The sequence below is a fragment of the Homo sapiens genome, chromosome 5 (assembly GCF_000001405.40).
Source record: "Homo sapiens chromosome 5, GRCh38.p14 Primary Assembly".
NCBI lineage: Eukaryota > Metazoa > Chordata > Mammalia > Primates > Hominidae > Homo > Homo sapiens.
In genome coordinates this window covers 6,654,289-6,667,864 of record NC_000005.10, presented here as the reverse complement: position 1 = coordinate 6,667,864, position 13,576 = coordinate 6,654,289, and the positions used below count along the sequence as shown (strand labels likewise).

The following is a 13,576-nucleotide window of genomic DNA, read 5'->3' as shown; positions in this document are numbered from 1 at the left end:
GACCAAGTAGGTGCTTCCTGAATACCTGCTGGTGACTCCAGCAGTTTTCTCCAGCCTGCAGTTGGGAACTACTGGCCTAGCCCAGGGTGTGTAGAGTGGGCACCCAGCTGCATACCAGGAGGCTCATGAACGCTCTTAGTAAGGATTCGGTGAAATCTGGGGAAATGCAATATGGCATTGTCCACCATTCAGCCTTGTGCTCGAAACAAACATTATTTTCCGTTTTGATATAAATTGTATCAATGCAGGCGTGCTCATTTGTTTTGGGGATAATAGCCAGTTGGGAAAGGTGGCAACTAAGTGCATGGAGTAAAAATTAGAAATAATTTGACAAGATGGAGAAAGGGAGTTTCTATAAACACACACAGAAAGATTAAACAACAGACTAAAAATCATGATAGAAAGCAATTAGCTCATTGTTAATGTGGTAGAAACATATGAGGACGAGAAACTGAGAGGGAGTTGGCAAAACCCTGCTGGTCTTAGTTAAGTTTAACACCGGAATCCACAAATAGAGAATTCGAACATACTGGGCGGCCACGTTTACTTTTGTATGTTCTGTGTCCCCAAAAAGGCATGTAATAAGAACAATTCTAAGAAGTCGGTCAGGACTTCCGGATCAAGCGTCACTTCCCCTGGCATGAGGCCTCGAGACTGCAGCCTTTCCAGCTACGTGGCTCAGTGGTGGCGCATGGACCCACGAGTGCCCAACACACAACGTGGCCAAGCCTAACAGCTGGTGTCAAACCTGCGAAAGTGCATTGCAAACATGTTCGCTGGTTAGAGGCTGAAGGTGTTCACAGGCCTGCTGGGATCCAGGCCATCCAGCACTTGCAAGTGCTGAAGAGCTTCCCCATGGGCCAGCGGCACTGGCCGCCGCACAGTGACATAGCAGGTGAGCGCCTCTCTCCCAGAAACTGCCCGTGGGAAGATGGGCACCCTGGCCCGAAAAGGCAAGGGCAGAGTACATGACAGCAGGAGAGCCTGAAATGGGCAAACACGAGAGGGCAGGTGGGAGATGGGAAACACAGGACTGCCGCAGGATGCCGAGAAAACGCGCCCCCCCACCAGGCTGGGCAGCAAGGCTGGGCTCCGTGACATCAGAAAGAACATGTGTGAGGTCAGGGTGTTCTCACACAATGAAGGGATGTTGGCTGAAGAGGTTAAGTGTATTTCACAGAAACCATTATATAGAAATAAAATATTTATTTTTAAATGATTAAATTTTTCTTACTCCTTAGAATACCTTTAAATTTTGCCCTTTAAGAGAATATTTGTTAGCAACCCAGCACAGTTGACTGTTTCTGACCTAGAAATCAATGCATTAACTATCAATGCAATCATTTATGAATTTAAATACTGATTATTATAGAAAGATTTCATTGAATACAATTTTGTTTTTAGAACGTTATAATCCAGTCAGGCGCGGTGGCTGACGCCTGTAATTCCAGTGCTTTGGGAGGCTGAGGCGGGCAAATCACGAGGTCAGGAGATCAAGACCATCCTGGCTGACACGGTGAAACCCCGTCTCTACTAAAAATACAAAAAAATTAGCCGGGCATGGTGGCGGGCACCTGTAGTCCCAGCTACTCAGGAGGCTGAGGCAGGAGAATGGCGTGAACCTGGGAGGCAGAGCTTGCAGTGAGCCGAGATCGCGCCACTGCACTCCAGCCTGGGCGACAGAGCGAGACTGTCTCAAAAAAAAAAAGAACATTATAAATGGAGTGCAAGGAATAGATCCTTGGCATGTTTTCTTTTGGAATACTTTTATTTGATGGCTTAATTAGTTGGGTTTATGAAAATATTTTTTAAAAAGGAGTTTTTATTTTATTCTCAGCTTGTAAGTCCTACATTTCTGAACATACTTCTGCAAAACTGAATTGATTAATTCTTCAGGGCTTAAAACTGGTTTCACACTGACACCAATTTAAACAGCAAATGAATGACAAAGAGCTCTTTCAACTCATGAACTCTTCTGCAAAGACTATCTTTGGGTTTTCATTAGCAAAGACTTTCATTTAGATAACTGAATTATTTATTTTCCATTTCTATATGTTTCATATTCAAATACTGAGAGGGGCTTTCCTGTTTCCTGATTTCATTTGAGAAAACATCTTTGCCACTGACTTGGTGTGCCCATGTTCAATCTTACTCTGATCCGTGTTTTTTTAAACGTCAGTGTTATCTCATTTGTTTCTTTTAATGAGAAATGAGCCATTACTCACTTCTTCACATCAAATATTAGGAATATAAAAGGATGGCATCTTCACCGGGAAGTGAGGCCCAGGCCAGGTGCAGTGCTGGGAGCAGCGGGCGCAGAGGGGAGGAAGTCAGATTGTAGAATGTATATTTAGAGAGATAACGTTGTATTTCAACCAAACCGGTGACAACAAAGTCATCTGGCGGAGGAGAAAACAGAGGGGTTCACCAATCATACTCCTGCCCTTACTTTCCCAGTCAATTTTAAATGGCTGGAAGGCTGGCGTATCAGTTCCCTGTGGCTGCTAGAACAAAGTTAACCACACACTGGGTGGCTTATAATAACGGCCACTGATTCTCTCCCAGTTCTGGATGCCAGGAGTTGGAAATCAAGGTGGCAGCAGGGCTACGCTCCCTCTGAAGGTTCAGGGAAGGTTCCAGTCCCATTTCCCCCAGCTCTGGTGGCACCACGTGTTCCTGGGTTCATGGCTGCATCGCCCCCGCCTCTGTGTCCATCTTCGCATGGCCTTCCCACTCTGTGTGATCACCTGGTGTACGTCTATCCACGTTTCCCCTTCTCATCTCAACTGATAACGTTCTCCAGTAAGGTCGCTTTCACAGGTGCCAGGGCTTAGGACTCTCATATGACCTTCTGGCAGACACAGTTCTCAGCACAGAAGGCCCATTCCTGGCCCACAGTGTTTTCTGCCATGCCTGGCATTGAGCCTCCTTCTCAAACCCTCTCTGCCTTCGGCACTCACTCAACTTTCCGCAGACCCCTCTGTTTTTCTCAGCAGCTCTGGGATTTAGGTAGGTCGTGGCTCTCTGATCTCGCTCTCTCCTCACTGTCTATGCGTGAAAATACCAGGCCACTGGCACGATGGAGTGTCTCGAAGAATGCGGGGCGCTGCTCTTAGAGCTCACATTTATGCTATCACTTCTTCAAGTATTAGACAAAGAGGCCAGCCACGTTGGCTCACGCCTCGAATCCTAGCACTTCAGGAGGCTGAGGTGTGAGGATTACTTGAGTCCAGGAGTTTAAGACCAGCTTGGGCAATATAGTGAGACCACAACTCTACAAAAAATATAAAAAATTAGCCAGGCCTGGTGGTGCATGCCTGTAATCCCAGCTACTTGGAAGGCTGAGGTGGGAAGATCACCTGAGCCTGGGAGGCAGAGGTGGCAGTGAGCTGAGATTGTGCCACTGCACTCCAGCCTGGGTGACAGAGTGAGATGCTGTCTTAAAAAAAAAATTAGACAAAGAGATACTTCAGATATGACCTTTCTTCTTCTTATCTCCAATAATCATCCTTTGCATCTGCAAACTCGTGGTGAGGCTGGGAAGTACACCTAGGTACTCTTCCCACTATACCATATCAATCTATTCTTCTTTTAGCTTTTTCTCTCTGTCCTTAGTCCCAAAAAAGATGATAAACTCCATGAAGTAGGACAGAGTTATACATTTTTGCACCTCGTAGCATCAGCAGCATTGGAGATTTCGATTAGATGTTTTGAGTGGATGAAGTGGGTGGCTCAGGGGACATAGTAAATGTGCATACCAGGCTGGCCGCTTGCTAAGCCCAGTCTCCATCATTTATTGTCAGGGACACGCGCCAATGTCAGGGCAGGTAAAGATCCCACGTTGCTCCTGAGATCTCTTCCCGTCAATGAGATGGGGCTCCTGGCTGGCCTCAGACTCTGCTCCCTGAACCTCAGTTTCCTCATCCATTGGATTAGAAAGATGTTCTCTAAATTCACTTCAGCCTTGACATCCTTCAATTTCTTTTCCTTTTTTCTTTTTTTTTTGAGACTGAGTCTCACTCTCTCAACCAGGCTGGAGTGCAGTGGTGCGATATCGGCTCACTGCAGCCTCCACCTCCCAGGTTCAAGGGATTCTCGTACCTCAGCCTCCCGAGTAGCTGGGATTACAGGCGCCCGCCACCACGCCTGACTAATTTTTGTATTTTTAGTAGAGACGGGATTTCACCATGTTGGCCAGGTGAGTCTTGAACTCCTGACCTCAAGTGATCCACCGGCCTTGGCCTCCCAAAGTGCTGGGATTACAGGCATGAGCCACCGCGCCCAGTCCCTTTGATTTCTTTATGAGTGTGTTGGTCAAATGGCTCGCAAGCCTTTTGGGGGATCAGATAAAAGCCAAGGACCCGGTCTCTGGAAAATGATGTCATTTTAGGGGGCATGCAGAGCTTCTGTAGCCCATTAAGGACCCCAGGTTCAGAGCCATGGCCTAAGCCACCACATAGCTGGAGAGCTCTTGTGTGTATGAGTTCTGCCAGTGTCGCTGGGCTCTGAGATTCACCTACCTCTTCAGGACTTCCTCAACCTGCAGCATTCGCAAGCTGGCCATTGGCTATTGCTCAGTCAGGGATCTGTTTTAATCAGTATTTCCCATTCAGAGCCCTGAATCCCCTGCTTGGTGTCTAACTTGACCACTGAATTCAGCACTGTCAATTCAGAGAGGCTAAGGACGTGGTATAGAGAACAACTGTGCTGATGTGGACCTGATTATTCCCTAGAGCTGGGTGATTCTACAGCTATTTGGTTTTGTACTTGTTTGGCCAAAGCACAGAATAAACTGGAATTCAGCGATTTAAATTAACACTTCAAAAATCTAGCCTGAAAAATGGTAATAATATAGTCAAAGAACAAATTACAAATGGTAAAAGTGTTTTAAAACTTACTCATGATGCTCTTTTGCTCTACCAGATAAAAAACAAAACGTGAAGAAAGCAAAAGCCGCGCCTTGGACAGACCAGCTGGCCAGGGCATAGCCACACCACTCCATGATTTCTCCAAAATAGTTGGCTGCAGTTACGTATTCAAATAAGCCTCCTAGAAGAAAACACAGACCAAAGTAGTGCATTTACTACAAAATGAAATACGGACTTCAGAGATGCTAGTGAATACTTACCTGGAGAACATAAATTCAAGAACGGAAAAATATTATCCTTACAGAATGTTAATCAGTAAGACATATCCAGCGTTACATGGTTTACTAATTCATATCACAACTTCTGATCATCAACTACATATGTATATCAATACCTGTCTATGTGAATACACACACATACAGTTACAGTGGAAGACACCAATAAACCAGTGCACCTGCTGATGGATCATGCAAGCAGAGAATACAGAGTAAACCATGTAAAATGGACCTAGATAGAACCCTAGAGCAATGAGGGACAAAGATATTCATTTTCAAGCACAGATTCATTCATTCGTCACATCTTCACAAATGCACTGAGTCCGTATTATGGGCCATGCCCTGCCCAGGCACTTGGACAGACACCCTCCCCACATCTAGAACCATGAACTCCAGTGTCATGAACAAGGAGAGCACACAGCTCATGGAGGGGGAGGAGTAGCGAGGGGCAGGGCAGAGTGAGGGGGCCCCGGAGCTGGGATGGGGTGGAGGAGGTCACTATCACAGAGTGGCTGGCAACAGGCCACAGGGAAGGTGAGGGTCGATTCAAGGCTTGCAGGTGAGGGCCAGCCTGGCAGGTGCTGGAGGTGCTCTCAGGAGTGCTCCAGGCAGGAGAAGAGATGCAGCAAAGGCCCTGAGGCAGACAGCAATGGCTGGCACACTCCAAAGACCAGATGAGGGGTGGGGAGAAGGGTCCCAGCAGAGAGGGAGGGCAGAAGGCCCCTCCTTGGACTTGGGACTCACCCTCAGGCTGTAGCTTTGTGGTTACTCAAGTGTGTTTAGAGAGGCCTGGTGTGATCTGCCCCAGGTTCCAACTGGACACTATGTCTGCAGAGCTGAGAAAATTCTGAAGGCATGTAAGGACAGAGCTTTTTTTAAAAAAAAATTAGGCTGGGCGCAGTGGCTCACGCCTCTAATCCCAGAACTTTGGGAGGCTGAGGCAGGTGGATCATGTGAGGTCAGGAGTTGGAGACCAGCCTGGCCAACATGGTGAAACCTTGTCTATACTGAAAATACAAAAATCAGCCAGGTGTGATGGCACACACCTGTAGTCCCAGCTACTCGGGAGGCTGACGCATGAGAATCGCTTGAACCCAGGAGGCAGAGGTTGCAATGAGCCGAGATCGTGCCATTGCACTCCAGCCTGGGTGACAGACCTAGACTCTGTCTCAAAAAAAAAAAAAAAAAAAAGACAAACCTATTACGCCCTAAGTCATAAGACCAATTTCAGCAAATACTGCAGCATAGGGTAGAGACTACATCTCTGAGCACACTGCAACTTACATGCATGCATGAGGGCTTTTGGCTACCTTTTTTTTTTTTTTTTGGAGTTTTGTATTTTTAGTAGGGATGGGGTTTCACTATGCTGGCTAGGCTGGTGTGGAATTCCTGACCTCAGGTGACCCACCTCTCTTGGCCTCCCAAAGTGCTGGGATTACAGGTGTGAGCCATGACACCCAGCCTGAGATGGTCTATTTTTTTAAAAAGAAAGAAAATGGTTTTGCTGAGCCCGAGACAGCACAGTGCTTTTCTTTTTCTTAAGGAAGGTGGGGTATGTAGACGTTTGCAATAATGAACTCTCTACTACTTTTCTGTAAGCTTGAAATAATTCAGAATTGTAAAATAATACTGATATGGTTTGATTCTGTGTCCCCACCCAATCTCATCTTGAAGTGTGATCCCCACAGGACAAGGAAGGGACCCAGTGGGAGGTGACTGGATCATGCAGGCGGTTTCTTGTGATAGTGAATTCTCATGACATGTAATGGTTTGAAAGAGTGAGGCAGATCCCCCTTCACTCGCTCTCTCTCCTGCCACCATGTGAAGGTCTTTACTTCCCCTTTGCCTTCTGCCATGATTGTAAGTTTCCTGAGTCCTCCCCAGCCATGCGGAACTGTGAGTCAATTAAACATTTTCTCTTCATAAATTACCCAGTCTCAGGTAGTTCTTTATAGCAGAGTGAAAACAGACTAATACAAATATCAATATTCATTGACAAGTGAACTTTTTAATGACAATATAAAACATAAAAATATCAAACTTAATGCCCAATAAATAGAATGTCATTCGCCATGTGTGGGCATGTGCACCTGCAGAAGCACCTGCAAGAATGGACCCAAAGCATTCACAGCGCTGTTCCTTCTGGGCCATGGAGCTTAGTCACTTTCACTTTCTTATTCACCCATTTCTGTAACTGCTTCAACTTTCTACAAGATTACGTTAATCATGATCTGTATTTCATCAGAGCCCTGGGCAGGTGAATCCCAGACGTGGAAGGACCTTTGTACCATACCCTGCAGATGCCAGTCACCCAAAGGGCAGACAGCCTGTGGGCAGGGCTGGGGCCACGATGCCTTCCTGCATGCCGCCTGCTCAGTGAACCTTCTCTCTTAAGTGTCTGGTGTGGGACACACGGTGTGGTGGAACCGTATGGGTGGACTGGTAAGCATGGAATTAGACTGGAAAACCTGCAGATGCCAATCTGCTAAAAAATGTCCTCTTGAGACACAGGCTGCTTACAGATGCCACATTACAAAACCACAAACTGGTTGTCACACACAGCCCACAGCACTTGTCCTAAGCCCTAGTTCAGCCTGTATGTACTGACTATGGACGTCACACCTGTGCACCTCTCTTTATCTCTTTATTTGTTCATTTTGTCACTTGCTCCTTTGACCCTAACCAGTTATGGCACCATGATTAACAGAGTCCTGCGAAGCGTTTCTGAAAGACCTCACGGAGTCACTGGATGTAGACGGCACACCTGTGTATTAGAAACCATCAATGTGTCACATGAAAACGCCCTGCAAAATTAAGAGTCTGCAGCGAAGGGAGCTGGTCACAAAGCCGACCATGGTGGAGTCTTCATGGGGCACAGCACTCAGACTCCCTACACCTGAGTCTTCAAAACCTGACAGATTTTACATGAGGGACTCCAAAGCTAGGATAATATTTTGGCTTCCACGTTCCTTGGGCCTCTCGTGTTGCTGCCTCTAAGACCCTGGCACGGAACGCTGCCCTGAAGAATCTAACGAACTTTCCCTTACAAGCCACTCATGGCACGTGCAGATGATCGTCACTGTTTCCTGTCCACTTCCTCCGGTATAGGGTGCGTACCTGCAAACGGCAGACGCTCTTGTGTCTTGTTTTACTTCACAAAAGCTTTCTTGAATTAGTTTTTAAAATATATTCTGTTCCAATGCTTTGGATTTCTTCTTCATGGACTTCAATGTGCCTAGGATGGATATATTTTCCCTACCTTCTCCAGCTATCACCAAAACATCATTCACAATAAGAATGATCTTTTTTGGCCGGGCACGGTGGCTCACGCCTGTAATCCCAGCACTTTGGGAGGCCAAGGTGGGCGGATCACGAGGTCAGGAGATCGAGACCATCCTGGCTAACACGGTGAAACCCCATCTCTAGTAAAAATACAAAAAATTAGCCAGGCGTGGTGGCGGGCGCCTGTAGTCCCAGCTACTCGGGGGGCTGAGGCAAGAGAATGGCGTGAACCCGAGAGGCAGAGCTTGCAGTGAGCCGAGATCGCGCCACTGCACTCCAGCCTGGGTGACAGAGCGAGACCCCGTCTCAAAAAAAAAAAAAAGATTTTTTTTTTTGAGACAGGGTCTCCCTCTGGAGTGCAGTGGTATGATCGAGGCTCACTGCAGCCACAAACTCCTGGGTTCAAGTGATCCTCCCACCTCAGCTTCCTGAGTGGCTGGGACTACAGGTGTGCACCACCATGCCTGGCTAATTTTCTTTCAATTTTTTTGTGGAGATGGGAGTCTGGCTATGTTGCCTAGGCTGGTCTCGAACTCCTGGCCTCAAGTGATCCTCCTGCCTCAGCCTCCCAAAGTGCTGGGATTACAGGTGTGAGCCACTGCACCCAGTCTAGGTTTCATATTCTTTGCTTTTCCATTTCTATCTTCTAACATGCTTCTGTGGTTTGTTTTTTTTTTTAAATGATTAGAAATAAAGAATTTTGATCTTGTCTGATCTTGGAAGCTAAGCAAGGCTGAGCCTGGTTAGTACTTGGAGAGGAGAAATTAAGAATTTTAGAAGCATTTTCTTCCCTAAGTCTCATGTGTCCCATGTCATCTGCACCGATGTCTGGTGTCACCTCCTGCTGCCTGAGAGTTACAGCCAAGCTTCTGCATTTCCTTTGGCCTGTCTGTTCACAGAGATGCCATTGATGGCCACAGGCCGTCAGGAAGCTGGGTTGATTACTAGCTTCAGGAAGGCGGCTACATGCTGTGGGGAAACATCACAGGGAGAGGTCTCCCTTTACTGCGACAGGTAATAAGTTTGTAGATTGCGGGTTCGTCGCAGGTGTTCTTTAGCTGATGGGTATAGACTCTGCAACTGCTCCATTCACATTTTATTTTTTTTATTTTTTTTAGACAGAGTCTCACTCTGTCGTCCAGGCTGGAATACAGTGGCATGATCTCAGCTAACTGCACCCTCTGCCTCCCAGACTCAAGTGATTCTCGTGTCTCAGCCTCCCAAGTAGCTGGGATTACAGGCACGTGCCACCACGCCCAGCTAATTTTTGTGTTTTTAGTAGGGATGGGGTTTTACCATGTTGGCCAGGTTGGTCTCGAACTCTGGACCTCATGTGATCTGCCCACCTCGGCCTCTCAACATGCTGGGATTACAGGCGTCAGCCACCACGCTTGGCCTCCATTCACATTTTAAAATTCATGTTGGAATTTTGATTACAATTTTCCCCTGCTTTGTGAAACACGTTTCTGCTCAGGTAAGTTTTGCTGCTTTTTTGCTGTCCTAATGTTATGACTGCACAGATTTGGGGATTGTACCTTTTTTGTTGTTCAGGTTTGAATATGTTGGATTAGAACAAGGATCAGACACTGAGAGCAGGAAATGGAGGGACAGGGGCTGAAAAGTTTTTGTGGCATCTCAACTACTGTGGAACAGTGGACAGGACCCTCTGTATAAGGCACCGCAGGCCTTTCCGTAACCAGCCTGGCCCAGGAGGGCCCTCCCATGGGATCCTGCCGTCTCTGGGGATGCCCTTTCTTTTGGAAGTGGTGTTTCTCAAATCTGCCAGTCTGTGGCTTCTGGTATCTTCTGCACCTTTTCATTCTGCCTTCCCCAGGACTGTGCCCTGTCCCTTCTTAGTCTGGCTCATGGCAGCTCCTCCTCAGGACAGGGCCCTCTCCTTCAGGGGATGAACACTTGCCGATTAATTTGGAATCATGCTGTTCCCCATGCAAGGGTGCTGGGCAGGAAGCGAGGGGGCCACCATCCAGCTTACACTGTGCTCTCCCAGCCACTGTACCTGCCAGAGGAAGCGGCTCCTTGGGATGACCCCATGAGGGTGCAGTTTGCTCATAAGCCCAACACCAAAGAGAGGATTCTTCCCCAATCCACCCAGGGGCTGAATAGGTGATCAGCAGCCTGTCTAGGACTCTGTCATGTTTTCTCTTCTCTGCCACTTCTATCACACTACCATCACGTCTGGAGCTGGCTTTGCTGATTCCAGGTTCTCAGGGTCACAGTTTAAGTAATTTGAGGTTTGTAGCATTGTTTGTTTTTGTTGCTATTCTCATATGGTTTCTAGGAACATAAGTGGAAGAATTTCAAACTAAGTGATGTCACGCCCTTTCTCCATTAAAGTTTTAGATTTATGTACTTTAAAAAATTTTTTCTGAAGCTCTATTGGTTTCTAGTCCTTTTATGGTACATTGCTTCTTACTCCTAATTGTAATCTACTCCTTTTAAAAAGCATTTCAAGTACTCACTTTATAATGTTTCCATTAATTCTAACATCTGAAATCTTTCATGTTGAATTACGCTCTCCCTCATGGTGCTGTACTTCCTTGTGGGTTCTGTACCTTGTGACCGTGCCTCTTACTCTGTGGAACGTGGCACATTGGGTTCTTTGAGACTCAGGTTGAATGCACATCCCCTTGGGGATCTGGGCTTTTGCTGGCCAGGAGAGTCCACCACTACCCCAGGCCACGGAAATTAATTTATGGCTTGAGATTTTTCATACTATACAAGTAGTGCGAATCTGGGTTATAAACCAGCATGGTGGTCGGCGCCTCATCACAAATTCTCAAAAGACACGCTCCAGATTCCAACATTCACCTAGATCTTGTCCTCTGATGATTAGTTCCTTTCTTGATAGTATACTGATGCGTTTAAGAAGATTTTCAAAATATTCCAATGTTTTAAACTGTTTTCAGAGGAGGGTCAAAGTATCTATTCCATTATACTGCTAGAAACAAAAGTGTCAGACACTCCTCGTCAATCATAAATTCTTCCTCATCCTCTCTTCCCAAGCACAGATATAACTGGAGTTTCTGCTTTGTTTAATAACTGTTCAGTTAGCTAGATTTGGGTCTTTTGTTATTCTAATAAGACAATAACAATAGCACTTGTTATTAATAATGATGACTTACACTGAAAACTTGTAGCTAATAACTACTACGCTACTACTTCTTAGAGCTGGCAACACTAAAATAGCCAGGAACCATGGCAAGCAACTTTCACAGAAATTCTTCACTTTCTGTACGTACCCCTTGGTATTTTGTATCCAGTATCTCCTGGTTTTCTGAGATTCCTTAGGATATGATCTGAATGGATGTTTATCAACATGCCCGTTAACCACAAGCCAAAACCTAAAGGAAAAAAATTGCAAGATGATTATGGCTAATAAACCGTAAAATTTCACTACGAGCCCCAGCCTGACTGAACAGTATTATTGCAACCCTTCAGATTACCATTGTTAGTGTAACATATTAGCCATAACTGGTAGTAAAAACCATTAAGGACTGTTGTCAGGTATGCCAAGCAGGGCTTTGTTTTCCTAATAATACAAATACATCATCTAATGTACTCAAAATACTTTGACCTGTTCATCACAATCTACATCTTCAGGATGACAAGTATGGACAGAAATCTGACTTGGGCACACGGCTCCTTTCCAGGGAGCATCAGGGAGTCAGCCCACCAGACAGACGCATCCCACTTATTTCTCACAAAATCTGCATGAGGCAATGCTGCCATCTCCACCACATGAACCAGGAGGGGTGATGCTCCTGTGCTGCTCTGTCACCACTGGCTGTACGTCACCCCTTGAAGGGTGGCAGTTCCTAGGAGTAGATCTCTGGTCTTCTCTTATTTACAACCTCATTTAAACAAATTAATGCGCATCTATGTTTCCCCCACAGCAGAATTCCTGCAGGCTCATCAATCAGCATTGCTCGGTCAGTCCTTCCTCCTCGGTTCTTGACAAGAGTCTCCCGTGGCCGCCTGCATGGTTCTCCCCAGAATCCCACGGTATCCCCAGTTTTCTCTCCTATTCTTACGAATCCGCAGGGATTTTTCATCACTTAAAGGAGAGTTGTTAGTATCACATCAATTAATTCCATCAAGAAAAGGCAAAAGGCCAAAACAGTGTTTTATAAAAGAAATATTGATAAAAAGAGGTTAACTTGATGGTTCTGATATACTTTTTTAAAATGGGAAAGACAGATGCTGCTTAGTGCTGGCATTCAGTTCAATATTAAATCAATGTACACGTGGGGCATCATTATTATCTGAGTCATCACCAGTGACATTGAATACTTTTTCACAGTTAGAAAAAGGACATGGAAAACCTTCTGGTCTATAGCAAGGGTTTCAAGATTTCTTCCTTCTGATTTTGCCACTGTAATCAGCTTTTATTTTTTTTTCCTAAGCAAAGCAGTTCATACCAAGTTTTATAATACGTTTTGTAAGTCATTTATTGGATCCATACATTTATAGTTGATTTGCTACCTTTTTGGGATTTTAGTATTTCACCCCTAGGTAATTTGGCTTCCAATATGAGATTCTAGAAAGGAATCATGTTGTCTAAATAACATGGTTACTTTATGTTTCTTCCAGGAGACAAGCTCCCTTTATTGCTTAGATTGGAAGAAAACTAGTACTTGTGTTCATCTAAGCTAAATATTTAATTCCATTTATAAGATCTTAAAATCTGGCTGGGCATAGTGGCTCACACCTATAATCCCAGCACTTTGGGAGGCCAAGGTGGGTGGATCACTTCAGGCCAGGGGTTCAAGACCAGCCTGGCCAACATGGTGAAACCCCATCTCTACTGAAAATACAAAAATTAACCAGGTAAGATGGCGCAAGCCTGTAATCCCAGCTACTCTGAGGTTGAGGCACAAGAATTGCTTGAGCCTGGGAGGCACACGTTGCCATGAGCCAAGATCACGCCACTGCACTCCAGCCTGGATGACAGGCTGCCTCAAGAAAAAACAAACAAACAAACAAAAAAAAAACTTAAAATCTTTCTATAAAATATTTTAGATTAACCACTTTTGCTGTTTTGAAAAACCTTTTGTTAGAAATTTGCTGGGCATGGTGGCTCACACCTGTAATCCCACCACTTTGGGAGGCTGAGGCGGGTGAATCACCTGA

General features: G+C 45.6%; 1 protein-coding gene across 4 annotated transcripts in view, besides 1 other annotated feature; it reads right to left on the bottom strand.

The window, feature by feature from the left end:
- The window catches only part of SRD5A1 (steroid 5 alpha-reductase 1), a 40,947-nt gene that overhangs the window by 6,522 nt on the left and 20,849 nt on the right, over window positions 1-13,576 (bottom strand). For all 4 annotated transcript variants that reach the window (NR_136739.2, NM_001324323.2, NM_001047.4 and 1 more), the window contains 2 exons: window positions 11,686-11,787; window positions 4,899-5,049 (listed from right to left, as the gene is read on the bottom strand). Coding sequence is in view for 3 of the 4 variants with exons in the window: in NM_001324323.2 (NP_001311252.1) it covers window positions 4,899-5,049; window positions 11,686-11,787 (253 nt within the window). In the remaining variant the exon portion in view is untranslated. The remainder of the gene's footprint in view (window positions 1-4,898; window positions 5,050-11,685; window positions 11,788-13,576) is intronic.
- Window positions 7,237-7,466: an enhancer, noted in NCBI's record as "active region_22335". NCBI's record gives its function as "activates an Ori minimal core promoter by ATAC-STARR-seq in GM12878 lymphoblastoid cells {active_cell/tissue: GM12878}" and the evidence as "EXISTENCE:reporter gene assay evidence [ECO:0000049][PMID:35858748]".